Genomic DNA, 27,851 nt, shown 5'->3' with positions numbered 1-27,851 from the left:
TTTGAATGAAAATGTTAAAAATTCTGTTCAAAGGCGTTGTTAAATTCCTTCTGAAAACTGAAGAGAGTTTTCCTTTTTTTTTATTCCTTCAATCAAGTAGGTATAACCTGAGATAAACATGATGTTCAGAGGCATATAATAGAGTTCAGAATATAAGAACAAGCTGATGATCAAGTAGTTTCCTACCAATCCAGGAAATGTCCCACAATACAGAACAGTTTGGAAAATATGGGAGAAAAATTAAGAGATATAGAGGAGAATTTAAGGAGGTCACACTTTCAAATAAATAGGAATAAATAGGTGGTGGTAGAAAAATAATTTTTGAAAATAGAAGAAAATTGTCCCTAGTTTTAAAAATATATGATTATTCAGATTAAAGCTCCCACCCAAAACTTGTTAGATGCTGTCAGGGTTATACTCTCCAACTCCAAAGAAAAAAGAGAAATGTAGTGATACAGAAAAGACAAGGAAAGGAAATTTTAAATAATATAGATATGACATGACCAAAAATTATTAGAAAATGGTCGTGAAACTGCCTTTGCAAAATTATGATAGTAAAAGAAATCTGACATAGTTGACTCCATTTTGCTTCTAACCTCCAAGCCATCCTTGGTCATTCCTAGGCGAAGGCCAAGCTAACCTTGGGAGGAATTTAGTTTATAGTTTAAAGCAATTATAACAATAGTCCCTCCCTAATCTAACCCTCCCCTTGCTTAGAGTCCAAAAACCTCCTTTGTAAGAATAGGATTATGGGAAGGGCTTCAGTGTGGCTAAAATGTAGGGATAGTGTCTATAATCCCTTACTGCTCAAGATATCATGTGGCCAGAGGTCACAAGATTTGTGACTTTTCCAATTATTCCTATAAATAACATCACTATGTAGAAGCTAAGATTGGTTTTTAAGATATTTTTCAGTCTGAGCCCACGTGGACCCATGACTTATGACTCAGCTGGTCCTGCAGCCCCACCGGAGGTAGACTCAGTGCATGAGGGCTATTTTCTACACCCTTGTGATTTCTTCCCCAGCCAATCAGCAACACCCATTTCCTGGCCCCCTGACCACTAAATTCTCCATAAAAACCCTAACCCCTGAGTCTTTGGAGAGACATATTTGAGTGATAACTTCAGTTCTCCTGTGTGGGCGAGGTTCCCGTCAGTTAAACTCTTTCTCTACTACAATGCCAGAATCTCAGTGAATTAATTTTGTCTGTGAAGTGGTTAGAAAGAACCCATCATGAAATTACAGTGGCAATACAAATTGAGAAGTGGGAAGAAACATGTCTATTCAGAGTCACCTCTAGATGAATGAAATAATATTAGGAGGACCTCTTTTAGAAAAATCCATAAAACTGCCCTTTTTCTTACCTTCTTATTGAAGTATTCCCACAGAGAAAAGAGCACAAATCAAGAATACAGCTTAATGAATGTTTACAAAGTGATCACACCTGTGTGACTATTACCAGAGTCAAGAAATAAACATTATCAAAACCACAGAAGTTCTCCCTTCTTTGTGCCCTTCACAGTCACTATTGCTCCCCTCTTACCAGAAGGTAACCACAGTTCTCACAATTAATACATAGATTATTAGTTTTGCTTGTTTTTGAACTATATCTAGATGAAAATATTTGGTATTTACTCCTATGTATTCTATTGTGCCTGGCCTCTTTTGAAACCACCTTTGCAAAATTATGACAGTAAGAGAAATATGACATAGTTGACTCCATCTTGCTTCTAGCCTTACAAGCTGGCTGTCTTCACTCTGTCCTTGGCATAGGCCAAGCTAACCATGGGAGGAATTTAGTTCATAGTTTAACCTTAAAGCAAGGGTGATGATAGCTCTCTCCAAAGCTAAACTGCCTTTGTAAACCTATTGAAAGACCACAAGATTAGGAAGGAAACTGAACTCTGCTAAAATGTAGGCATAGTTTCTATAATCCCTTACTGCCCAGAGGTCATCATGGGACCAGAGGTCACAAGATTTGTGACTTCCCCAGTTGCTCCTGTAGATAACATCACAATTGAAGAACCTAAGATTGGCCTTTTGAGGGTTTTCTTCAGACTTTTCCATTTCTGATGACCAGCTGACTCCACTCATACCCATGGAATTTAGGGAGACCCTTCAGAGAGAAGGTCAGGGTTCAGAAAACTGACTGAATATTTTGAGAGCTTTTATTTTTTTCTCCCTGCCAAAATTCCATTGAAATGACAGAAGAAATATAAAATAATAATAAATCTATAGCAACTTTAGAAAGCAGGGAAGAGTGCCATCAGCAGTGTGAGTTTTTGGAACGTATAAAAGAAATAGGATAAGGTGGATGGCCAATTACAACAAAGTTGACCCTGCAACTCCACGAAGAAGGAAAAGATTCTGCAAAACGAAAGGAACCATGAAAATAAGCCAAAGATTAACAACTGCAGGGAACTAGAAGGAATAGGCTGTGTCTGGGAAGCCAGCTATTTAATTATAGGGTAGTAAAACAATTGCACCAGCACTCTCCTTGCAAAGCAGTTGGCTTTCTTACATACGGGATAAAGCCACAAATATAGAAATCTAAATCTGATGTGGGAGATTCCCAAAGGAGCCTTTGATTGCGTAGAGTCTCCCCTGACTTATGGGCCCCAAAAGAGAAGGAAGTGTATACACTCAAAAGATATCCAACCATATAAGCCAGCTGACAGTGTGTCCAGAGCCCATGTAATCATCTACACCCTTGGAGCCAGGTGAACATTTTCACTTGAAATATATTCCAGCTAACAATATAAGAACCAGAGAGAGAGGCATCAAACTTAGCAAACAAAATAATATATCCTTTGGGAAAACAAAATTAAGTTGGGAAATAAATGAAATTTCAGAATTATTTTACTTAATATTTTTAGTGACATTCAAGCAGATAATATATCTGAAAAAAAAAGCCATGAAAATGAAATGATTCGTGATTTTTTAAAAATCAGTAGTTGGGCTGAAAAGTAGAAAGAACAAACTAAAGATCAGTTTAATGAACTGAAAGGCTGGACAGACTAATTTTCACATAGCTCCATGTAAAATGGCAAACAGGAAAAGAGTATAAGAATTTGTTATGCTTAACATCATTTCTTTTCCTTTTTGGGTTTTGCAAATTCTCTTGTAATTCTTTTGTCAGTCTTTCTTTCCCAATCTTGCTTTACATTTTCCAGAAATTTCTTACTGTTCTTGTATGTTGGTAGCATGCCTCTAACTTTGCAGAATTTCTAAAAATATGTTTTATTATATATTATTATAAATAAATATATGTAAGAAATACATATATTTCTTGAGATGGAATCTCACTCTGTCACCCAGGCTGGAGTGCAGTGGCTGATCTTGGCTCACTACAACATCCACCTTCCATGTTCAAGCAACTGTTGTGCCTCAGCCTTCTGAGTAGCTGGGATTATAGGCACGCACCAACACGCCTGGCTAATTTTTGTATTTTTAGTGGAGACGGGGTTTCTCCACGTTGGCCAGCCTGGTCTTGAACTCCAGGCCTCAGGCGATCCGTCTGCCTCGGCCTCCAGAAGTGCTGGGATTACAGGCATGACTCACCACGCTCAGCCTCTAAGAATATATTTTTAGATTTACCTTTCTACTGTCACTTCAGGACAATTTGGAAAGGGATGAGACATAAATACTTAAGTTCAATTGATCACCTTGAACCACAACAATATAATCTTAAGATTTTTTTTAATGCTTTTTTTTCAGCATCTACATTAAGGATACATATCATCTTAAGATTTGAGGGAAGAACCTTTCACATTCATTACCTTGGGGTTTTTTAATTTTCTTTTACATTTGGTTTATTTTTCAGAATGTGCATAGAAACCATGTTGCCAGAAGTACTTTCCTCAGTAGATTGCCTTGTCCACCAGAGTGACCTGAAGATTGGTGATGGTCTCTCTCCACTTAGAACAATCCTGCACATTCAGAGTATTTCTCACTAGGCACCTGCTAGCACTGGACAGTATAGTTAGTCTATGAAGGTTAGTAGACTTGCTTAAGGTTTCTTTGTTTTTGTGGCAACCAAGTAGGTGAAGTAAGTTGACCAGCTGGCTCTTTTTCAATAACAAAGTTTATAAATAAAAATGCATTCGTGATCTTGTGTGTATATTGACAGCTTTAAAATGCAAGACCTTGATTACAATCCTATGTAAAAATCCCATAAAATATATTTATATATGATTTCATCTAGAAAAAACTATTCCAAATACATTATACACATTTTTTAAAATAAATAAAAAATTTATTTTACAGTTTTTAACTGTGAAAATGATTCCTGGATCAGTTTCTGCAGTAGAAGACTTCTAGTGGTTCTTAGGTGTTGTAGTCTTAGTTTAGGCTATGAAGCAAAGATATTTGTTGTTTTTAGTTCTTGATTTCTAGCTTAATTAAATAGTGGTCAAAGAATGTACTTCATATGATTTTAGTTTCTTTAAATTCATTGAGGCTTGCTTTATGGCCTAGCACACAATCAATTTTGGAAACTGATTTATATGCACTTGTAAAGAATATGTATTCTCTTATCAATGTGTGCACTGTTATATATATGCCAATTAAGTAAAGTTTACTAAAAGTTTTCTTTAGATCTTCTATATCTTTGCTAATTTTTTCTTTATCAGTAACTGAGAGAGGTGGTTGTATGGATTTGTTTTCTCATTTAAGTTCTGTCAGATTTTGCTTTAGTTATTTGAAGATATGTGAAATCAAATTTAGAATTATTTTCTTTTCCTGGTGGATTTTCTTTTGCTACATGTTCCACTTCAATAATAAAATAACTATACCAACTTTCTTTTGCTTAATATTTCCATAGTATATCTTTTTCCACCTTTTTTATTTCTAACCTTTCTCTATCCTTGTATTTAAGGGATATGCCTTTTAAGCAACATCTGGTTGTACTTTTAATCCAGTTTGGAAATATTTGGGTTTTAATTGGAGCAATTGCTTTTAATATACTTACTGATATATTTGTGTTTATACTTATCCTCTATTTTCTGCCTCTCTCCTGTTATATGCTCCTTTTTTTTTCTTCTTTACAATATTTAAGTTAATTAGGCATTCTTCATTATTCTGTTCCCCCCTTTATTGGTTTATTAATTATACATTCATTTACTGTGTTTTACTGCATATGCTAAGGAATACAATATATTGCCTGGACTTATTACAACGTAATATAACTTTTCAGATATTTACATTTCTTGGACAATGCTAGGTCTGTAAAATATTTTAACTTTATTTATTACCATCCTTTGTGTTATTAATCATTTTAGTCCTATATATGTTTTAGCTCCCAGAAGACATAATAATTACTGTTTTTTACAATCAATAACCATTTATATTCACCCACATTTTTATTCTTTCTGTCATATTTCATTCCTTTCTGAATTTCTATGTATCCATTTGGAATCTTCTTTTTTTCTTTTTTTTTTTTGTCCAGCAGAACTCATGTTAGTATATATTTTAGTGAGAATATGCTGGTGAAAATTTTACATGCTTTTGTTAGTCTGGAAATGTCTTTATTTTGCCTTCTTGTTTGGAGAGTATCTTTCTTTCTTTCTTTCTTTCCTTCTTTTTCTCTCTCTCTTTCTTCCTCCCTCCCTCCTCTTTCTTTCTTTCTTTTTCTTTCCTTTTCTTTCTTTTTCTTTCCTTTTCTTTCTTTCTTTCTCTCTTTCTTTTTCTTTCCTTCTTTCTTTCTTTTTTCCTTCCTTCTTTCTCTCTTTCCTTCTTTCTTTCTCTCTCTCTCTCTTTCTTTCTTTCTTTTTTTCAGAGTCTCTCTCTGTCACCCAGGCTGGAGTGGTGCAGTGGCACAATCTCAGAACACTGCAACCTCCGCCTTCCAGGCTCAAGCAATCCTCCTGTCTCAGCCTCCCAAGTAGCTGGGACTACAGGCACATGCCACCACGCCTGGCTAATTTTTTGTATTTTTTGTAGAGATAGGGTTTCACCATGTTGCCCAGGCTTGTCTCAAACTCCTTGGCTCAAGCAATCTGCCTGCCTCAGCCTTACAAACAGCTGGGATTACAGGGTTGAGCCATTGTGCCCAGCCCTAGAGAGTTTTTTGCTGGGTATAAAATTCTAGAAAGACAGTTCTCTTTTGGCATCTTGAAGATATATTTCCATTGTCTGTCTTTTATTATTTCCATTAAGAAGTCAACCATAATTCTTACTGCTATACCTTTGAAGATAATGTATAGTTTTGCCATTTATCTGTTTTCTGGTTTTTTTCTTTGTCCTTTGTCTTTGGTTTTCATCAGTTTTACTGTGCTATACCTAGGTGCTGTTTTCTTTGCCCGCATGTCTTTCACTTCAGAAATTCTTTGCCTTTATTACTTACATTGTTCTGTCTTATTTTTTTCTCTTCTGCTCCCTCTGGGACTCTAATTAGATACACCTTTTTACCAGGCCTATATAGCTATAATCTTTTCAGTATTTCCATTCTTTTTACTCACCAAGTTTCAGCTTAAATACTTTCTGGCATTTCTTCTAAATCACTAAGCCTCTCTTCAGCTTCCAGTATTCTATTTAACCTATTTATTAAGTCCTTAGTTTCAGTGATTACATTTTTTTAAGTTTCAGGTTGCTTTTCAGTTCTTTTTTATACATTCCAGCCAGCTCTCTGGAATCTATAAATTATTCATCCTATCATCTATTTTTGACATATTAATCACATGTCTTTTTTAAAACAATTTTTTCTTGATGCATAACAGATGTCCATAGTTTTGGGGTACATGTAAATAATTTAATACATTCATATAATTTGTAGAGATCAAATCAGTATACTTGGAATATCTATCACCTTAACTTTTTTTAAGATTCTAGAAACACTTGAATTATTCTCTACTAACTATTTTGAAATGTACAATAAATTATTGTAAACTGTAGCCACCCTAATGATTTATCAAATACTAGGTCTTATTTCTTCTATTAAACCATGTATTTGTACCTATTAATCAATTTATCTTCATAGTTCCCTTCCCCCTACCCTTCCTGGCATCTAGTAACCACCAATCTACTCTATATCTTCTCAAGATCAACTTTTTTAGTTCCTACATTGAGTATGAACATGCATTACTTGTCTTTCTGGGCTTGGCTTATTTCACTTAATGTAGTGACTTCCAGTTCCATCCATGTTGCTGCAAATGACAGGATTTGGGCCTTTTTTGCAGCTGAATAATATTTCATTGTGTATCTATACCACATTTTCTTTATCCGTTCATCTGTTCATACACACTTAGGTTGATTCCATATTTTGACTATTGTGAATAATGCTGCAATAAACATGGGAGTGCAGATAGCTCTTTAACATATTGATTTCCTTTCTTTTGGATATATACCCAGTAGTGGAATTACTGGATCATATGGTAGTTCTATTTTTAGTTTTTTGAGAAACCTCTATACTGTTCTCCATAGTCACTCTGCTAATTTACATTCCCACCAACAGTGTATGAGGGTTCCCCTTTTCCACATCCTCACCAGCATCTGCTACTGCCTGTCTTTTTGACATAAACCATTTGGACCGGGGAGAGATAATATGTCACTGTTGCAAAGTAACTGCAGTTGCGGACTATGAATTTTAACCATTATAACTATGCTCAAACACATCTTTATTAATTAAAATAGGAACCATTACAATCAACACATTTTTGCCAATAAGAAATAAGTTTGTTTATTCCTATGGTGTAAAAGTTTGTGCTTTAGGATTCAACAAACTCTTGGAAAGCATTTTCTGCATTCTGCTGGTTGTGGAAGCATTTTCCCTGCAAAAGGTTGTCAAGATGTTTAAAGAAGTGGGAGCTGGTTGGTGAGAGGTCAGGTGAATACGGCGGTTGAGGCAAAACTTTGTAGCCCAATTCATTCAACTTTTGAAGTGTTGGTTGTGCGACATGAGGTCAGGTGTTGTCGTGAAGAACTGGGCCCTTTCTGTTGACCAATGCCAGCTTCAGGCATTGCAGTTTTTGGTTCATCTCATCAAGTTGCTGAGCATACGTCTCAGATGTAATCATTTCGCCAGGATTCAGAAAGCTGTAGTGGATCAGACCAGCAGCAGACCACCAAACAATGACCGTGACCTTTTTTTGGTGCAAGTTTGGCTGTAGGAAGTGGCTTTGGAGCTACTTCTCGGTTCAGACACTGAGCTGATCATCACCAGTTGTGGTATAAAATCCACTTTTCATCGCATGTCACAATCCCATCAAGAAATGGTTCATTGTTGCACAGAAAAAGAGAAGACGACACTTCAATACAATGATTTTTTTTATTTTTGCTAAGCTCTTAAGGCACCCACTTATCTAGCTTTTTCACCTTTCCAATTTGCTTCAAATACCAAATGACCATAGAATGGTTGACACTGAGTTCTTTGGCAACTTCTCGTGTAGTTGTTAGAAGATCAGCTTCAATGATTGCTCTCTGTTGTTGTCAACTTCCGACGGCTGGCCACTGTGCTCCTCATCTTCAAGGCTCTTGTCTCCTTTGTGAAACTTCTCGAACCACCACTGCACTGGACATTTGTTAGCAGTTCCCAGACCAAATGCGTTGTTGATGTTGCAAGTTGTCTCCGCTGCTTTATGACCGATTTTGAAGTCAAATAAGAAAATCACTCGAATTTGCTTTTTGTTTAACATCATTTCCATAGCCTAAAATAAACATAAAATATATATCAAGTAATAAGTCATTAGCAAAAAAAATGAGAAATATGCATTAAAATGATGTATGACATAACCACATGTATTTAAAAACGTATTCCAATATCAAATGGCAAATTTCAACAATGCTAAAACCACAATTACTTTTGCACCAACTTACATTTCTCTGATTACTGATATTGAGTATTTTTTCATATTTGTTGACCATTTGTATGTCCTCTTTTGAGAAATGTCTATTCAGAGCTCTTGACCATTTTTTTAATTTTCTTTTTTTTTTTTTGCTATTGAGTTGTTTGAGCTCCTTATATATTCTGGCTATTAATCCCTTGTATGATGGATAGGTTGCAATATTTTCTCCCATTCTGTGGGATGTCTCTTCACTCTATTGATTGTTGTCTTTGCTGTGCAGAAGCTTTTTAGCTTGACATGATCCCATTGGTCCATTTTTGCTTTGGTTGCCTGTGCTTTTGGTGTCTTACACAAAATAAATACTTGCCCAGACAAATGCCCTGGAGTCATTCTCCAATGTTTTCTTCTAGTAGTTTCATAGTTTCAGGTCTTAGATTTAAGTCTTAAGTCAATTTCGATTCAATTTTTGTGTATGAATAGCCCTGTGCACACACAACATGATTTTTTTTAGAAAAACCTAAAGATGCCACCAAAATAATGTTAGAACTGATAAATGAATTCAATAATTGCAGGATACAAAAATCAGTAGTGTTTATATACACCAACAACAAACAATCTGAGAAGAAAATCAAGGAAACAGTCTCATTTGCAATAGATACGAATAATATATAATACCTAGGAATCAATTTAACCAAAGAACTGAAAGATCTGTACAATAAAAAGTATAAAACACTGATGAAAGAAATTGAAGAGAAAACAAAAAGAAAAGATATTCCATGCTCATGGATTGGAAGAATTAATATTGTTAAAATGACAGTACTCCCCAAAGCAATTTACAGATTCGATGTAGTCCCTATCCAAATACCAAGGATGTTCTTCACAGAAATAGAAAAAAAAAAATCCTGAAATGTATATAAAACCATGAAAGACTCCAAGTGGCCGAAGCAATCCTGAGCCAAAAGAACAAAGCTAGAGACATTACACTACCTGATTTAAAAAAAAAAAAAAAATTTTTTTTTAAACTGAGTCTCACTCTGTAGCCCATACTGGAGTGTAGTGGTGTGATCTCACCTCACTGTAGCCTCTGCCTCCTAGGTTCAAGCCATTCTCCTGCCTCAGCCTTCCAAGTAGCTGGGATTACAGGCACCTGCCACCATACCCAGATAATTTTTTTTTTGTATTTTTAGTAGAGATGGGGTTTCACCATGTTGTCCAGGCTGATCTCAAACTCCTGACCTCAAGTGATCCACCCGCCTTAGCCTCCCAAAGTGCTGGGATTACAGGCATGAGCCATTGCGCCCAGCCTGACTTCAAAATTTACTACGAAGCTGTAGTAACCAAATCTACATGGTAGTGGTATAAAAACAAACACATAGACCAATGGAATAAGCTAGAGAACCCAGATATGAATCCCTACACTTAGAGCCAACTTATCTTTGACAAAGGCACCAAGAGCATACAATGAGGAAAGGACAGTCTCTCCAATGAATGATGCTGGGAAAACCAGATAACTATATGCAAAAGAAGGAAATAGAGTTCTTTTTAATTTTAGCAAATAATTTCAATAAATGAGTCACCTGTGGATCTGGGTTTTTTCCCCTCCTGTCCTGTTTTGTGTCATGTCTGTTATTCCTTTCTTTATTAATGCTGAATATTGTATTTGTTAAACTGTAGTGATTCTGGATAATGTTACTTCTCTCCATGAATCTGTTTGGCCAGCAGAGTGTTGGCAGATTATCTTAATTCTGGGACTCAATTACAGATTTCGTAATACTCAGCCTGCCTCTTGTTTATCTCTGCTTTTCCAGTTTGTGGACACCTGGATTCCCAGTTGAGATCCTGGGGTTTTTAATCAGAATCCCTCTCCCTTGGAGGTTTCTAAAATCTAGCTTTTGTCTCCATAGGACTGTGAGACTGTGGAAAAACCTTGCTCAGTCCTTCACTGGCTTTCTGCCTACCTTATTATACCCTTCTGTAATTCAATAATTGTACAAATCATTCAGCAAATAATTTCTTATTCTTCAGCTCATTTATCTTTTGGAAATGCATGCTTTATTGTTTGTACTAGGTTTTATAAAATAATTGCATGCGTCATAAAATGTATGCTTTTAAAATATAGTAGCTTTCCTTATCTCAGCATTTAAAAAAAGATGAAACTTCTTCATATAGTCTGTTTTCCCTGGTACCCAAGTAAAGTTTGTTTGTTTTTCCTGTTCTATTTTTTTTTTTTTTTTTTTTTTCATTTTCTTAACCAGGCTTCAGACTCTGTATCATTAAAGTAGTTATTCGTGTTTGGATAGTCATAAGATTATAAAATTTAGCGTTGGAAGGAACCTAAGACATCATCTACTGTTGGCTAACCTCCCACACAGTGCAGAAATGTTTTCTGCAGCATCCTTGGCATATGCTCATCCGGTCTCAATTTGGATATCTTCAGCAAAGGAGCTCATCATTTCCTGAAACAATCCATTCTGTTGGACAACTCTATTTTAAAAATCCTTATGTTGAGCTAAAATATGCCTCTTTGTAACTTATACTCATTTAATCATTGTTTCAAGTTTTCCTTCTGGAATAAGTCAAAACAAGAGAACATTTCAGATAACTGTACTTAAAGCAGATCTTAATGCCATTCCTGTCTCTCTCGCTCTCTGTGTGTATGTCTTTTTTTCTTTCTTGTCCCAAAGCATTGAACGTAAATTTCTAAACTTGGATTAATAGTCATAAGGAGGGCATCTATTTGGTAATAATTTTTAAATTAGCTTTATTGTAGACAAATTCCTCTGATATTTGAAGACAGAAATTTTTTTGTAATTATCTTGAATTATATTTTTGTATAGAAAAAAGAGTAAGAAGACTGCCATTTATTTTCAAAGATGGTACTGTATAACCACTTGTGGAGATGTAGAGGAAAAAAAGCAGTCTTCAGTTGCCAAGATGTGATTGAAATCTGAGGGGGTGCATTTTTGTTTTCAGTACTTGTAAATTGCCTTTAAAACCTGTTGTTTTTAAATTAATAATTACCATAATCATATGGCACCTAATGTTTATTGAGTACTACGTATAATTCATGTATCTTATCTCTCCTTTTAGACTGAATTCTCCGCTCAATAATAATTCTCCAATCTCTTTTAGTATAACTTATGATCTGGTTTTTTTGGGTTTTTTTTTTTGTTGTTGTTGTTGTTGTTTTTGAGGTGGCGTTTCACTCTTGTTGCCCAGGCTGGAGTGCAATGGAGTGATCTCGGCTCACTGCAACCTCCTCCTCCCGGGTTCAAGCGATTCTCCTGCCTCAGCCTTCTGAGTAGCTGGGATTACAGGCATGTGCCACCATGCCTGGATAATTTTTTTTTTTTTTGTATTTTTAGTAGAGATGGGGTTTCTCCATGTTGGTCAGGCTGGTCTCAAACTCCCGACCTCAGGTGATCCACCAACCTCGACCTCCCAAAGTGCTGGGATTACAGGCGTGAGCCACCACACTCGGCCAATTTATGATCTAAACAGAACAGTGAGCATTAAAGAAGGTACTATTAGTAATCAGAAGGTAGTATTAGTAATAGTCATTCTTTTTAAAGCTGAACTTCAGGTTATTCTATCAGCTAGTACTATTACACAGAAATTTATATATATGTGACATATTGTTTTGAGTAGTTCTAAAAGGCATTCATATAAGGTTATTATGTCCTGTCCTGTTTATGATTTAAGCTTCCACCTACATCCTAACCCCTTCTTCACGTTCATAATTGCAATGTAGTTTTGTAGGCAAAAATTGCTACTTTTTTTGTGACCTGCCAAAAGTGAAAAAAGATCCTCTTTTCTCGCCCCACTGTTCCTCAGGTAAAATGAGAGAAGCCACAGAGCATGCAAGGCTGGACTGCCTACCCTAGAACAGTCCCTTACTGGCCCTTTTTAAGATGTGCAAAAAGATGGAGTTTGAAGAGTTAAAGCTGTTGTAATTATAACCCTTAAATTTCCGGAGCCTGGTTAGAGGACAGCATGGGGAATGCCTAGTGCTTCAATTATTTTGCAAAAATGCCATTTTTGTGAAATGAATCCCACTGTCCCTAAAGAATATCCATTCTCGTTCTACGTGGTGTTCTCAATCTGGGCTACAAAATTAAGTGGTGCTGATGGATGAGTTTCATTCTGATTTAATTGGTCTGGAATGGGTTCTGGGTTTCCAAGTGATTCAAATGTTCACCTAAGTTTGAGTCACTGCTCTAAAACTACTGTGACACAGGGGGAAAAAAAAGTTTTCTTCTAGGCCCAAAAGTTGTGATTTCAAGAGCTGGCATAAGAAAAGTGCTACTGACAGCCAAAAAATGCACACAGGAGGATCCCACTGATTATAGATATTCACATTTCAAGATCACATCACTCTGAAACATCTGATTAATTCTAAAGGTAACTTTCAGAAATGTGCCAGGCACTTAAAAGTCAAAGGGATTTTATTTTTACCAAAAAATATGTCTTTTTAACCTCAACCTGTGAGGAATCACTTTTAAGATCACTGTTCAGAAAATAAACAACTTAATGAATTAGTTCCATTTTGCAACATTTCATACTCTAGAAATTTCATCAAAGAAATGATTGGCAAACTTTGAGGAAAATTGGTTCATCTAACTTCCTTTTGTTAGTAGAGGAGAAAAACAGCATGAAATACTTATTTCCCCCTATGCCTTTTCGCTCTTTAAAATGGGTTTAAGGCAGTTACTATGAATTCTGTCTCTAAGAAGGAAAGTTTCACACAACTAATTTTCATTAGGAGTGATATGAGATAATTATCATACAAACATGCTTCCTCTTTTTATGCTGTCTTTTCTAATTTATGCATTGCCACAATCAGTCATTCTACCTGTGCTAGCTCTAGGATGGGTTGAGGAAAATATTTTTTTCACTTGAATATTAAATATTCTCTTTCTTAATGACCTACTTCATCATGTCCTTTGCTCTGTTTTCTTTTCCTGATATCATTTTCTTTTCTGAGAAAATTATGTCTAAAAACGGTAACTGCCAAATTATGTTTGACCCATTGGTTAGGCATTTCTGATTCTAGCTGCTAGAATGGAATGAATCTTTTAGGAGCCAGCAGCTTAGCTCTCACACCAGACACTGGTCCAGAACACTGCCAGAAGGCTGCACTGCAATCAGACTTCAGTTGTGAGAGTTCTTAGTTTCCTCACGCTCCTCCCTCTGTGAAGTATATTTAGCTGAGCTTGTGCATATGACTTCAGTTCATAAAAAGTTTACAAGTGCAGCTGGAATGCTTAGCATCTGATTGTTACATAAATAAGCATTTGAGAATGTATGTAAACTTGACAGTGTTAGTACCAGATGTTCCAGTAACACAATAATGTACTTTGAATGTCCGTTCTCACTCTCAGCTTGTTTATTTTGGCAGTACTTCCTTATCTGCTAACTTTCAGATAAGCATATATTTGCTATCTCCATAGTGTTGATCCTCTTATTGTTACATTCAAATTACATTTATTATATTTAGTGTGTAGAAGTACAAATAACAGAAGCACTAAGACCTAAAATCATTTTTACATATGTCTCCTTAAAATACAAACTATCTCAGCTCCTAAATGTTTATGGCATATAAAGAAGAAAGAATCTTCTCTGGGTATAGGTATAAACTCATTTCGGTAGGAATTGTCTTTCCAATTATGGGTTATCCAAGTACTTTTTTTTTTCTTTTTGGCCACCAGGCACTTAAATTAAGAGATTTCTGTTACTGTAAAAATTCCCCTGCCTTCCTCAGGTCTTCCCCACCCCTCACCATACCTGACAATTGTTTTGTTTTGCTTGTTTTGGGAGGGTTACTTTATTTTATTTTTGGTTGGAAATAAAAATTGTATACATTTATGAGATACAATGTGATATTTTGCTATACATTTACATTGTGGAATGATTAAATCAAGCCAATTAACATATCCATCACCTCACATACTTTTTTGTGGTAAATCATAGAAGCTTTTGACATTCTAGAGGTTTTATTTATTTATTTATTTATTTATGCAGTGACAGGATCATAGCTGACTGCAGCCTCAACCTCCTGGGCTCAGGTGATTCTCCCACCTCACCTTCCTGAGTAGCAGGGACTACAGGCGCACGCCACCACATCCAGCTAATTTTTATATTTTTTGTAGAGAGGTTTCACCATGTTGCCCAGTCTGGTTTTGAACTCCTGGCCTCAAGCAATCCTCCCACCTCAGCCTCCCAAATTGCTGGGATTACAGGTGTGAGCCACCATGGCTGACCAGAAGTTTTTATTTCCTCAGAGGTTAATTGTGCAGTTATTTCAGACATGCGGAAAAGTAGCATGAATAAGAATGATACTAGAATGTTCACATATCTATATATTTTGTACCATCATTCACCTGTTGCTGACATTTGCTCCATCTGCATTACCAGATAACTGTGCTCACTCATTCTCTTTTATCTCTCTGAATATATGTGTGTGTGTGTTTGTATATATGCATATATATACACACACATAAGATATGCATATATGTATATGTGTATACACATGCACAACACATTTTTTCTGAACCTTTTGAAAAGTAGTAGCATGGTCCTTTACTCCTATATACTACAATACCTAAAAATAAAAATTTCCTAAAAATAAAAATATTGTTTTATATACAAGTAAAGTTAAAATTGATGCATTTTTCTAATCCTTCATCTGTATTTCAATTTTGTTAGTTAACCCAACGATATCCTTTATACTGTTGTTTTTCCTCAGGAAAAACAGGGTCGGGACTGTTTTTAGGACTCAACCTAGGATCAGGTATTACATTTAGTCTCTTCAGTCACCTTTAATCTGGAGCATTTCTATAAAGCTTTGTTTTGCTTTTATAGCATTCAAATTTTTGAAAACTGTAATTCCATCTTTAATAATAGAGAATTCTTTGTTTTGGTTTTACATGATGTTTCTTTGTGGGTAGATTGAGGTGACATGTTCTGTGCCCAATACAGAGTGAGAGATGATGTGCTCTTCTCAGGGTGTCACATCAGGAGGCACACTATATCCATCTGCCCTCAACGGGGATGTTAATTTTGATGACCTAGTCAGAGTAGTGCCCAGTTTCTCTACTGTGTGGTTATCAGTTTTTCTCTTGCCACTAATAAGGAAACAATTTAATGTAAATATACTAGATTACAGCTTTTTAAATGACTTGAACTAAACATATTTTTGTGATTGTACTGTGCACAGTCATACTATAAAAGCCCTAAAGTTGCCCAGACTTTCCTATCTACTTTTCTTTATCCCTGAAATGCTCTCTTTCCTCTCGGCCACCTCGCTCTGAAACTGCCTTTGTTCTTAAGGGCCACGTGACAACATCCACCCAGTCTTTTTGCTTCCTGACTTTTCTCAGTCTGAGCCTGACTTCTGGAATCAGACTGAACATGTTGGGTGTGTTCTCTGCAGAGAGCTCTGCTGAGGTAATTACAGGTTCTGGAAACCATAGTGACCTGAACTTTACTGAGGGAGGTAACCTATTTGGAGATAAAGTCCAAATATGGTCAAGAATGAAAGCAAAAGTTTGAAGCCAGAAAGTCAATTCTTAGCCTCAGAATGGGAGGTTATGTAAGGCCCCAAAAGGGCAATCAATCATGAAATTCAAAGCCAAAATCAACAGGTTGAGAGACGTGGTACAATTTGTGTTAAGGCAATAGGTTTAGAATTAATGCCCTGAGGTTGATAGAGGTCTGTCTTTATGTGAAAACAGCTCTGCAGCAAAGACACAAGCCTGATAGCCTAACAGAGCCTGACTCTGCCCTGCTTTGGCTTTGAATGATAGAACACCATGACTCAATAAGGGGCATGACCTCAGAGAGGGTAGAGCAGGCTCCCAATAAGAGTAAGCATAGTGAGGATGCATGGTGCAGTTCTAGAAAGAAAAGAGCCAATTGAGTGCATCACTTGAATTATTTCCCTTGGTGGGAAATGTATTTTATTTCTATGTAATATTATAAAAAACAGTTTAGAAACACACTGTATTATAAACTTTAAGCTCACTTCCAAAGATACAGGAGAACAAGAAAAACATGCATGAAGTTAGTAAAAGTGATCTAATTAGCATTCTTATAGAATGAGCTGTAGATTTACTGGAGTCTTACTAAAGGGAAAAATACCAGAGCACCAGACTAGCACATCAATCATTTGAGATTGTCTGACAGTCTTGAAGAGGATATCCTGGCTGCAGAAAGCACACTGCTGTCTTAAGGCTAGGGGCCCAGGTCAGAACATAGGAAGAACAAAAGATGAGCAGTTTTGAAAGGAACCAGCTGGCTTAAGGTGATCCAAAGTGCACAGATGTTAAAACCTTAGTGTTCCAGCAATACAATTACCCAAAACAAGAATAACAGAATAACCACTACAAAATTATAAGACTCGATTTAGCTTTTTGACCCTTGAGGTCTGAGTATTTATGTCATGCTAATTTTTTACTACTTTAATGTAATTATATTTTGTGTCTTCTGGTTGATGGCTATAAAAAAACAAAATTTCTTACAAAAGTTGAATACTAAATTGTAACTGATCTTTATTAGAGATATGTATAGAATTCTGTCTATGTGAGATCTTAAAGATCTTTCGTGCTTTTTAAATGGTCTAAGCACAATAACCAATACTTCATAATTTCCTGTGTAATTATCTCAAACTTCCTCATACTTAATACAGGTGGTTTTATGGCAAGTCAAGAGATGGTAGATCTCAAGTCAATTATGAACTTCCTAAATTGGTAATTGAATGTAAAACAGAATAATCTAAAACTGAAAACTAAAGTGGTTTGAATCACAGGAATAATCAGGAACTAAAAACATACGAGATTTGGAAAATGTTAATTTTGTTGTTTCACAGTGTGAGTATGTGGTTAAAGTCATGAAAAATAGCTCAACATTCTTTAAGACCTTAGTCATTGTTTTCTATTTAATGATGTTGAACACTTTGTGAGTGTAAGGGGTGTTATTAATAATTATTTGGAGGCAAAACACACCCTAGAAAAGAGTTACTGTGTGCCCTTTAAAGATATTTAAAATGAAGCATCATCTATAGTAGAACCAACAGCGTACTACCTGACTTGAGACAACAAGTTTACTTACTCAACAGACATTATCAAACACTTCAAACCTTTATGGATATCTCAGTACCTTTAATGAGTATATGAGTTGGTCATGTAAAAATTCCATGTTGTATTCACCATACCATACAAGGAGATCTCCCTTGCTGTCATGTGAAGATGTGAAAACAATAATATTAAAAGTGTCCCTCTGTGACTAGTTGTCTATATTTTCAATTCTAGGGCAGAACAGCATAAAATAAGCAGAATTACAAGTTTGATTATCAAACTCTGTAAGTATATCACGTTCGTTTGTTATTTGTATTCAGAGAATGTGAGGGTGAGACTATGTAATTTAGCTGCAGCTTGCTGAGTTTTGTTTTTTTTTTTTTACCATCCAAATAGCTTCATAGAGATGAGCTTTGAAGAATGGCTTAAACATACTGTTTTTTTATTTCTTCTCAGGTTAGTGTCACTTCAAAAATAAAAATAAAAATAGGCACTCTTACTGGAACATCAGGAGTAATGCTGGGTATAAACAGGATTAGAATATACTTAACTGTGGTAATCCTTCCCGACACACATAGAGATGAATTGATAACTGGATTTGGCATTTCAAATATTTTTTACCAAGGCAAAGGCTTTAGGGTGTTTTCTCGGAATTAGAGAGTTTAGAGATGAAAAAGGTACCATTTATTATTTTCTCTTTCTGTCAGCTTAGGACTTCTCTTTGCAATCATGTTTATAATACTGGGCCTGTCTGTTCTTAAATGTTTCACCTGTTGAAGGATGTTCCATCAGAGGGTGTGCTAAAATCTTAGATTGTATGTGCCAGAGGTTTTGACTGAATAATATTCTGATAAAATCAAGGAAGGTAATGTATTGGAAAGGAACTTGGGCTTACAATCAGCAGTAGTGAGTTCTAGTCAGGAATCTGTAATATAATCTGTACATGATCTTGAGCAAATCACTTAGTGTCTCTCAATTTTCTGTTTCCTCATGTGAGATGTGAAAGGTTTTGGCTAGCCTATATTATTCAGTTTGTTAGATAATCAGATAAATATATCATTTAATCAAATTAACCACATCAGTGTATCAGTTCAGCCAAAATATTTGTCATTTATATAAGAAAGACTATAAGAAATCAGAAAACTAGATTTTTATTTTCTTAACAATAGTACTACTTTGCCAAGTAATGGCAACTTAAAAGAGCTTTCTCTCAAACCTGGCAGTATTACACCATTTTTGCTACAATATTATTTTCAGGAATATAATCACGGCTTACCTATTACCAGGGCCTTAGAGTATAAATGAAAAAAAAATGATTAGCTTTTGCAATCCTACTTTATCCTGGGACTCAATAAAGAAAATTAGTATCCTTCTTTAAAAAAAAAGGGGAAAAAAGATGACTATATTCCCATTCCTCCAAAATATAGAATATCAAATGAAGAGTAAATAGACACTAACCTCTCCTCCCCCTTTTTTTTTTTTAACTCCAGAGCTAACTGATCTGAATAATTTTCTCTTCACCAAAACTGGTAGAATATTTTACTTTATCATCAGGTTATTTTTGATTGCAAAGCTGTAACGTCACAGTATACTTATACTGAAAAATGCATAGGATTTGGAATCAGGAGATCTAGCTTCAAGAATCTGTTCTATTACCTCATATATATATAATTTGAGTAATTTCTTTAAAGGTTTAAGGAAACCTTTGAATCTTGGTTTCCTAATTACTAACAAGGCAGTAGCAGTAATATTTGTCATTGGAACGTCTATTGGTAAGAAATTAAATAATGAATGTGAATCATAAAGACTAGTATGCCTTCTTATTAGCGCTATTATAAAAATATTTTAAAATATTTTATATTTAATAAATTGTATTACTTTCATCTGACTACATATAGATAACATCGCACCTTTATAGACAGTATTATTAAGTTCAAATATTAAAGATGGAAGGAAGGAAGAGGAATGGAACTAATATTTCTGGAGCACCCTGCCACAGCATCATGATGGAAAAGTCAGGGAGTGCTTTATTTTCTAACTCCAATGTAATGTACTTTCTAACTGCTGTGTAAGAGACAATGCACCACCACATTGTCACCTGTGTAAGAGAAGGAAACTCAACCCTTTGGGGTTCTTAAATTGTAGAACAAAGAAGACTTGCCCCAATATGGAGAAACTCTAGTTTTTCTTGACCACTTCCTTTCTGCACCATTTCTCCAAATTTTATTTTTTAATATAGAAACCATTATAAGTATATAGCTTACAAATCTAATCAATATGTTTCCACACAAATCTGCAAACTGATTTGTATATAAGAAGACCCTATTCAAGTTTGAATTCAGGTGGTTATTTAGCTGAAATGCCATGAGAAAAAAAAAAAAGAAAAATCGTCTTCATTGTGAATTTGAGATAATTACTTTCAAAAATCACTGCAGCCCCAATCCAAGAAGGGACCACAGGGTTTAATTGTGGGTGTGCTATTTACAGATTAATTAGGACATTTAACTTCATTTTTTATACCACAGAATTAATCCCATAAAAATTAGTGATCTCGAAGGAGTCAGTTGTCAAACTCTGACAGGATCTCTTTGCCATAATCTATTAAAATGCTGCTTTTATCTTGTCTTGCCTGTGTCATATTTTATGGATTTTTTCATAAACACTGCCTATACTTCATAAATGTCTCAATTTTCTAGTCTATTAACATTACTTCAAAAGCAATTGATAAAAGAGTAGGGCATGCATGAAATAATACACCAATAATGTGAAGTGCTGGAGGCAAGAACAGTGGGTAGGATCTGCACAGCTTGTGAGCTGAAACAATGAAAGGATGTTTTATCTACTACAATAAAGAAACAAATGATCATTTTTGATAGTAGAAAAGAGATTGCTAGTAATTGGGCAGATGAAAAATGGGTTATACAGAAAATACAGCATAGTTTGAAAATGATAACTGAAATGAGAAAATAAATGTCCCCAAGTATATATTTACATTAGTGGAAACCTTTTCCCTTTTGTTACCAAAGATTTGGTATTCAGTTTGATTTGTCTTAGTTCTAGATATGATGGTTTTATTCTATATATAAATATTTCCTTTGTATGCATATATTTTTACCAAACCTATATATGTATTTTATGTATTGACTACAATAAATGTTGGAATTTGGTTTTTAAATCTTTTTAATTATTATTATTATTATTTTGAGATGGAGTCTCACTCTGCCGCCCAGGCTCGAGTGCAGTGGCACTATCTTAGCTCACTGCAACCTCCGCCTCCCAGGTTCAAGCAGTTATCCTGCCTCAGCCTCCCAAGTGGCTGGGATTACAGGCACATGCCACCACACCCAGCTAATTTTTTATATTTTTGGTAGAGATGGGGTTTTACCATGTTAGCCAGGCCGGTCTCAAACTCCTGACCTCAAGTGATTCACCCACCTTGGCCTCCGAAAGTGCTGGGATTACAGAGGCATGAGCCACCACGCCCGGCCTAATTTTTTTATTCTAGTTTTTGAAGTTATTTTAATTTTTCTTTTAATGTATAGATGATATGTCTATAGCATCCTCTTTAGATTTCTTAAGCCCTAATATAAGACCTAATATAATTAAATAAGAATCTTAATTTGGATTTGTACCACAAATTTAATTGAATAAACTGACTTTTCAAAAACTTATTTGGTAATTATGTATTTAAATCAACTAAATGAAAAACAAAGAGGAGAAAAGTCACTGAGCAAGATGCAGAATTCCTAATTTTTCTTTCATGTTATTCTTCGTATTTTACCACCTGACTTAGCTAAATAAAGCCAGATATTGTCTGAGCTTTCATTCTTAAGGCATCATGTTATAAACAGAGTGACCTTAGAGCTCAGTATGTCTGCACAGTCCTGGTGTTTTCCTGTAATTATCAATAGCTCCTCCTTTCACTTTCATAAGTGTCCTGGCTTGGATGACAAAGTCATGGTTACCTATTAAAATATGTGATCAAGTAAATATTGGAAGAAATGTTTGAGTAATACATACGGTTTTAAATTTCTCAAAACCTACATAGTACTATGTAAAATAATTAGTGTGATTTAGTGTTAAGGTCTTTGGTTCTTGATTCATATAATTCCTTTTTTAACTTGGAAATGAGACCATTTTCTTGTTGCTCAGATCAAGAAATAATCTCAGATAACTCAAGTGTGATCATTCAATTCTAATACTTGAAAAGAAGATGATTTTTCTCATGCCTTGATAGATGGTGATAGAATACATTGCTGAATTGTCCTAGTGGCACTCTATAAAACAGGTAATGTAGTGGGGTGAAGTACAGGACTCATCATAATGATGATGCCATGTGTGCCTGTAAGCTTACAGGGGCACAGAAGATCATGACCAAGGGGGATTCTTTAGTTCTCAAATGTTGCAAAGAATATTTGAAACTCCCTGTCCTTGGTACATAACTTATGGAAACAGTCAACAAAATTATGTGGAAAATATCCAGACTTACCATATGGGGTGAAAGATAATACCCAACGTAATAGTTTATTAACTTGACTTAATTCCCACTTCTCTCCCATTTGTCTTTTCCCACGTCAGGAAACAGCATAAATACTCACCCAGTTGCTCAAGCCAAAAACATAGGCATTTTTCATGTTCTCTTTTGTCCATTACATCCGTAAACAAATGCTGCCACTTTAGTCCCGGAACGATTCAGAATCTACCTGCTGCTTTTCATCTCCGTTCTTACAATCATAACCCGAGCTACCTTCATTCTTCTCTACGGTTTTACAATTGCCATGTTACCTGCTCTGCCTGCTTCTACTCTGGCTGCCTCCTCCATGATTTATTCTCAATGTAGTACTCAAAATGATCTTTTAAGAATGTAAGTCTGATTACACAATTCAATAGCTTCCGTTACATTTAAAACAAAACCCAAGCTTCTCACTGTGGCCTATGAGTACTACATGATTATACCCTTGTCTGCCCCATCTCCTACCATTTTTTCATTTTTCACTGTGCTCCATCTTCCATTTTTGTTCATTCAGCATGCCAAGCTTGTTCTCATTTGCTGTTGCCCCTGCATGGGTGGCCTAAAACAAATGATTTTCTTCCCAAGTGTTTGTGAAATCCATTCACTTCTCACCACTTCTGTGCTCACAGTCCTAGTACAAGCGCCCATCGTCACTCATCCAAACTGCCCTAGCAACTTCCTCACTGGTCTCCGCGTGTTAAATCGGCTATCCAGCCAGGGTGATATTTTGATAAGTGCATGTTTGATTGTGTTGAGCCCTAGAACTATATTCTAGGAGCTGAACATGCAGCCCTGGCCTGATAGAGTTTATATTTTATTGGAGAAGCAGATACCAAGCACGCACAAAAAAGAATACTTTCAGATTCTGCTAAATACTATGAAGAAAATAAGTCGAGACTTAGTGATAGAGAATAATTGAGGCGAGATCCATTTTTAGATTAGGGAGTCAGGGAAGTCTTTCCCTAAGGTGTATCTATGTGAACAGCTGGGGAGAGGCAGGAAGGAGTTAGGAATGGGGAAACATAGTGAGTGAGAAAGAACATGTTAGAGATGGGGCGCGCTCTCCCAGCAGCCCGCGCTACCTGACCCCGCGCCGCCCAGCGCCCCGCGGACTCAGCGGAGGGTGGTGCCGCCGTTGGCTCCTGCCTCCCCGGCTCCGCGCTGCCGCCACCGCGGCCCATGGGCAGAGTCGGCGGGCGGGCCGGCATTAAACCGAAGAAAAGATGTCCCTGTACGATCAGAGGAAACCAGTGACTCAAAAACAGAAGGCTGGTCCAAAAACTTCAAACTTCTACAGTCTCAGCTTCAGGTGAAGAAGGCAGCTCTCACTCAGGCAAAGAGCCAAAGGACGAAACAAGGTACAGTTCTTGCCCCAGTCATTGACCTACAACGAGGTGGCTCCTCAGATGACCGGGCAAATTGTGGACACACCACCGCATGTGCCAGCTGGGCTGAAGGATCCTGTTCCCAGTGGGTTTTCTGCAGGGGAAGTTCTGATTCCCTTAGCTGACGAATATGATCCTATGTTTCCTAACGATTGTAAGAAAGTAGTGAAACGCCAGAGAGGAAGGACAAAGACAGCGGGAGCTGGAAAGACAGAAGAAATAGAAGAAAGAGAAGAAAGGCATAAATACAGACATGATGCACGTGAGTTTTCAAGGAGTTCAGATCCGGATTCTGATGAAGATGAAGATTAGGAGCGAGAGAAGAGGAAAACAAGTATGGGCGGAGCTGCCATTGCCTCACCCACTTCTCTGGCAGTAAAAGACAGTTACCCCGAGATTTTCCTTATGAAGAGGACTCAAGACCTCGATCACAGTCTTCCAAAACTGCCATTCCTCCCCCAGTGTACGAGGAACAAGACAGACCGAGATCTCCAACCCGGCCCAGCGCAACTCCTTCCTCGCTAACTTGGGGGGCACGGTGGCGCACAAGATCATACAGAAGTACGGCTTCCGGGAGGGCCAGGGTCTGGGGAAGCATGAGCAGGGGCTGAGCACCGCCTTTTCGGTGGAGAAGACCAGCAAGCTTGGTGGCAAGATCATCGTGGGTGACGCCACGGAGAAAGATGCATCCAAGAAGTCAGATTCAAATCCACTGACTGAAATACTTAAGTGTCTTAATAAAGTGGTCCTACTAAGGAACATGGTTGGTGCGGGAAAGGTGGATGAAGACTTGGAAGTTAAAACCAAGGAAGAACGTGAAAAATATCTCAAAGTTGGGGAAAGTGTGTTGTTTGAAATTCTGGTGCCCCTGATGATGAAGCAGTACGGATATTTTTAGAATTTGAGAGAGTTAAATCAGCAATTCAAGCGGTTATTGACTCGAATGGGAGGTATTTTGGTGGACAGGTGGCAAATGCATGTTTCTACAATTTGGAAAAATTCAGTATCTTGGATTTGGCAGAACAAGTTTGATTTTAAGAACTAGAGCACAAGTCATCTCCGGTGATCCTTAAATGAACTGCAGGCCGAGAAAAGAAGGAAAAAGGTCACAGCCTCCATGACTGTTGCATACTGAGACTCTTGGAGGGACTTGTAAGATATATGTTGGTTGATCCCTTTTTTATTTTGTGGCTTTTTAATATAGTATAAAAATCCGTTTACAAAAAAAACAAAAAGAAAATGTTAGAGATAAGATTGGAGAGATGGGAGGCAATAATAAGATAAAGAGCAGTGGATTTGGCACATAATCTGGAGGTAGAATTAACAGAGGTTGCTGATGATTGGTGATGGAAGGGTAGAAATTAAGGATGAAACCTAGGTTTTTGCCTTGGCCACCAAATAAATGGTAGTCTTATAAATTGAGATGGAGAAGTGTAGGGAAGGAGAGGGTTTGTTAGTGGAGAGAAAGTTTTTTTGACAGGGGTGGCTGGAGCAGGTTAAATTGACTGTATCTAGTAGACCACTAAGTGGCTGTATCAAGCAGGTAGATGATTGTGAATCTAGAACTCAAAGTCAGAGCTATAGATATAAAATGGAAAAATCACAGCATATAGATAGAGATTAAAGTCTAGGAACTGAGTAAAGTCACCTATAGAGAAAAGATAGAGAAGTGAAGAGGAGAGAGATCAAGTCCTATAGCACTTTTAATAAGATCAGGCAATCTCCTTACCAAAAAAAAATGTGGTCTCTCAGAAGAAGAAATGAGAGACTGGGGGAAAAAAATAAAGAATTAGGTCAAGGGACAAATGCTGCTCTGAATACAATAAGAAAAGGACAGGAACTGGCCTCAGGATTTGTCAAAATGAAAATTGTTGAGAACTTAGACAAGACCAGATTCAACAGATCAGTGGAGATGAAAACCTAATAGGTTTAAAAAAAAAAAAAAACTGAGGGAGGGAAAAGAGTGGATATAGATTTCACTTTCAAGGGGCTTTGCTGTAAAGGGGAACAGAAAAAAGGCAGTTGACAGAAAGTTGAGGACAAGGGGCTAAAAAATACTGGTTTCAAGTTTGGAGTCATTATAGCACTTTTTTTATGTTAATGGGTATAATTCATGAAAAAGGATAAAACTGAAGACACGGGACAGTGAAATCATAATTCCAGAATCTAAATCTGTGTGTTGGCAAGATAGGTTGGAACTTGAAGTGGAGTGATTAGTCTTAGATAGGAGCAGGGATAATTCTATTGTGATCCTAGGGAAGGTGCAGCATATGGGCTCATCAGGCTATGGACTTGGTATTGGGAATGTGGAATAAGAAGCCAGGCCATCAGCTGTAGTCCCAGCTACTCGGGAGGCTGAGGCAGGAGAATGGCGTGAACCCGGGAAGCGGAGCTTGCAGTGAGCCGAGATTGCGCCACTGCAGTCCGCAGTCCGGCCTGGGCGACAGAGCGAGACTCCGTCTCAAAAAAAAAAAGAAGCCAGGCCATCAGGTTAGAGAATATGAGATAAAAAATGGTTGTCAGGAGAAAGAGAAAGTTAAAGTACTAGGAAAATATAGTAAGATTGGGCAGCATTAAATACCTGCTTGAAATTTATCATCATAAATGTAATGTGAAATCTGTCTCCAGTTATGTGTTTTTCTCTAGTAACATTCAGGAGCTTGAATAGTGGCACAAAGTAGCTGGAGAGTTGGGTGTAGCTTTAGAGATTTTGACAAGAAAATACAATAGAGTAGCAAGGAGCAAAGGAATTATGTGTATGATTAAAGTGATAGAGCCTAGAATCTGAGCCAGATAAAGAAGGACGTGAGCATATTGGGAGTGAGAGTGGTATAGTAAAAAGTGGTAGGGTCAATAAATTGGAGGTCTGAAAGAGATATAAAAATTTTAGACGAAGGGAGCTAGAATAAGTAGGCTTTAAAATTAGAAGATGGTAGTTAGCAAATCTGCACTTAAAAATCAAAATTTTAGAAGTAATGTGGTTATTGGTGATGACAAGGCCAACCAGTGTTTCAAAAACTTTTTAAAATGGACATAGTAAGGCCAGGCGTGGTGGCTCACACCTGTAATCCTGGCACTTTGGGAGGCCAAGGCAGGTGGATCAAGAGGTCAGGGGATCGAGACCATCCTGGCTAACACGGTGAAACCCCATCTCTACTAAAAATACAAAAAATTAGCCGGACATGGTAGCGGGCGCCTATAGTCCCAGCTACTTGGGAGGCTGAGGCAAGAGAATGGCGTGAACCCAGGAGGCAGAGTTTGCAGTGAACAGAGATCGCGCCACTGCACTCCAGCCTGCCTGGAGTGCTTTATTTTTGAGATAGAGCGAGACTCTATCTCAAAAATAAAATAAAATAAAATAAAATAGACATAGTAAGTAATATGATGTTCAAGGCAACTCAATATGCACAATGCATACATAATATGTAATTGAAAAAATTATGAAACAATATTTACCTGACTTCATTCAATAAAGTCCAATATTTTAAAATCTATTCTATGTTACTTAAAAGGAAAAAAACGGGTTATAACTCATTAAATTGATTTTTATGATTACTAATGGATCAGACTTTGCATCCTGAAAACAGCTCTTGTGACCATGGGAATGAGTGATTGGTGTGGGGTGGAGGAAAGGATTGTTGGTATTGTAGAATTCAGACACCTGAGAGTCCACAGTGTCAGATGGATTATCTACCTAGATGTGGAAGCCATCAAGGATGATGACAGGAGTAATGGCATGGAGGAAGACAATGAAAGTGGTGGTGTAGTCTGGTAGTGGTTTGTACTTCTAAGAGACTGGAGATTTTAAAGAGCTAGAGAAGACACATTACCTCCAGGTCCTAGAACGTGGGTGGGAAAGATAAAGCAACTTTCATTTTGAAGTACTCAGGAAAAGATGCAGACTTAGAGTCCTGTCTTCACTGTGAGCAAAAAGGTGAAGAAAAAGTCAACAGAAATAACTGTGGACTTGGGGGGATTTTGTTACTGAGAGATTCTGATTTCCATAGGGTCCAAGGAAAGGCTTTGGGAGGTCAGAGATGGGTAGCAGATGGGTTTAATGAAAATGACTTGGGAGGCTTGGACTGAAATTAAATGTGG

The 27,851-nt window shown here is 36.8% G+C and overlaps 1 protein-coding gene and 1 pseudogene across 8 annotated transcripts in view, besides 1 other annotated feature; both read left to right on the top strand.

Annotated features, from left to right (window-relative positions):
- Positions 1 to 27,851, top strand: part of DPH6 (diphthamine biosynthesis 6) — a 401,189-nt gene that overhangs the window by 223,134 nt on the left and 150,204 nt on the right. For 3 of the 8 annotated variants that reach the window (XR_007064493.1, XM_047433263.1, XM_047433264.1), the window contains exon 9: positions 18,090 to 18,139. The exons of 2 other annotated variants lie outside the window; for them this stretch is intronic. Coding sequence is in view for 4 of the 6 variants with exons in the window: in XM_047433263.1 (XP_047289219.1) it covers positions 18,090 to 18,104 (15 nt within the window). In the remaining 2 variants the exon portion in view is untranslated. Of the gene's footprint in view, positions 1 to 18,089; positions 27,244 to 27,851 lie in introns of those variants that run through there. 3 more of the 8 variants (XR_001751413.3, XM_011522160.3, XM_047433265.1) reach the window with 2 other exon arrangements.
- Positions 13,970 to 14,264: a silencer, noted in NCBI's record as "tiled region #14069; K562 Repressive non-DNase unmatched - State 7:EnhWF". NCBI's record gives its function as "represses a minimal TATA promoter and a strong SV40 promoter by Sharpr-MPRA in K562 cells {active_cell/tissue: K562}" and the evidence as "EXISTENCE:reporter gene assay evidence [ECO:0000049][PMID:27701403]".
- Positions 23,439 to 24,985, top strand: RBM17P4 (RNA binding motif protein 17 pseudogene 4; annotated as a pseudogene).

This window comes from Homo sapiens, chromosome 15, assembly GCF_000001405.40.
Source record: "Homo sapiens chromosome 15, GRCh38.p14 Primary Assembly".
Taxonomy (NCBI): domain Eukaryota; kingdom Metazoa; phylum Chordata; class Mammalia; order Primates; family Hominidae; genus Homo; species Homo sapiens.
Note: the sequence above shows the minus strand (reverse complement) of the source record. Positions and strands in the feature narration are given on the sequence as shown.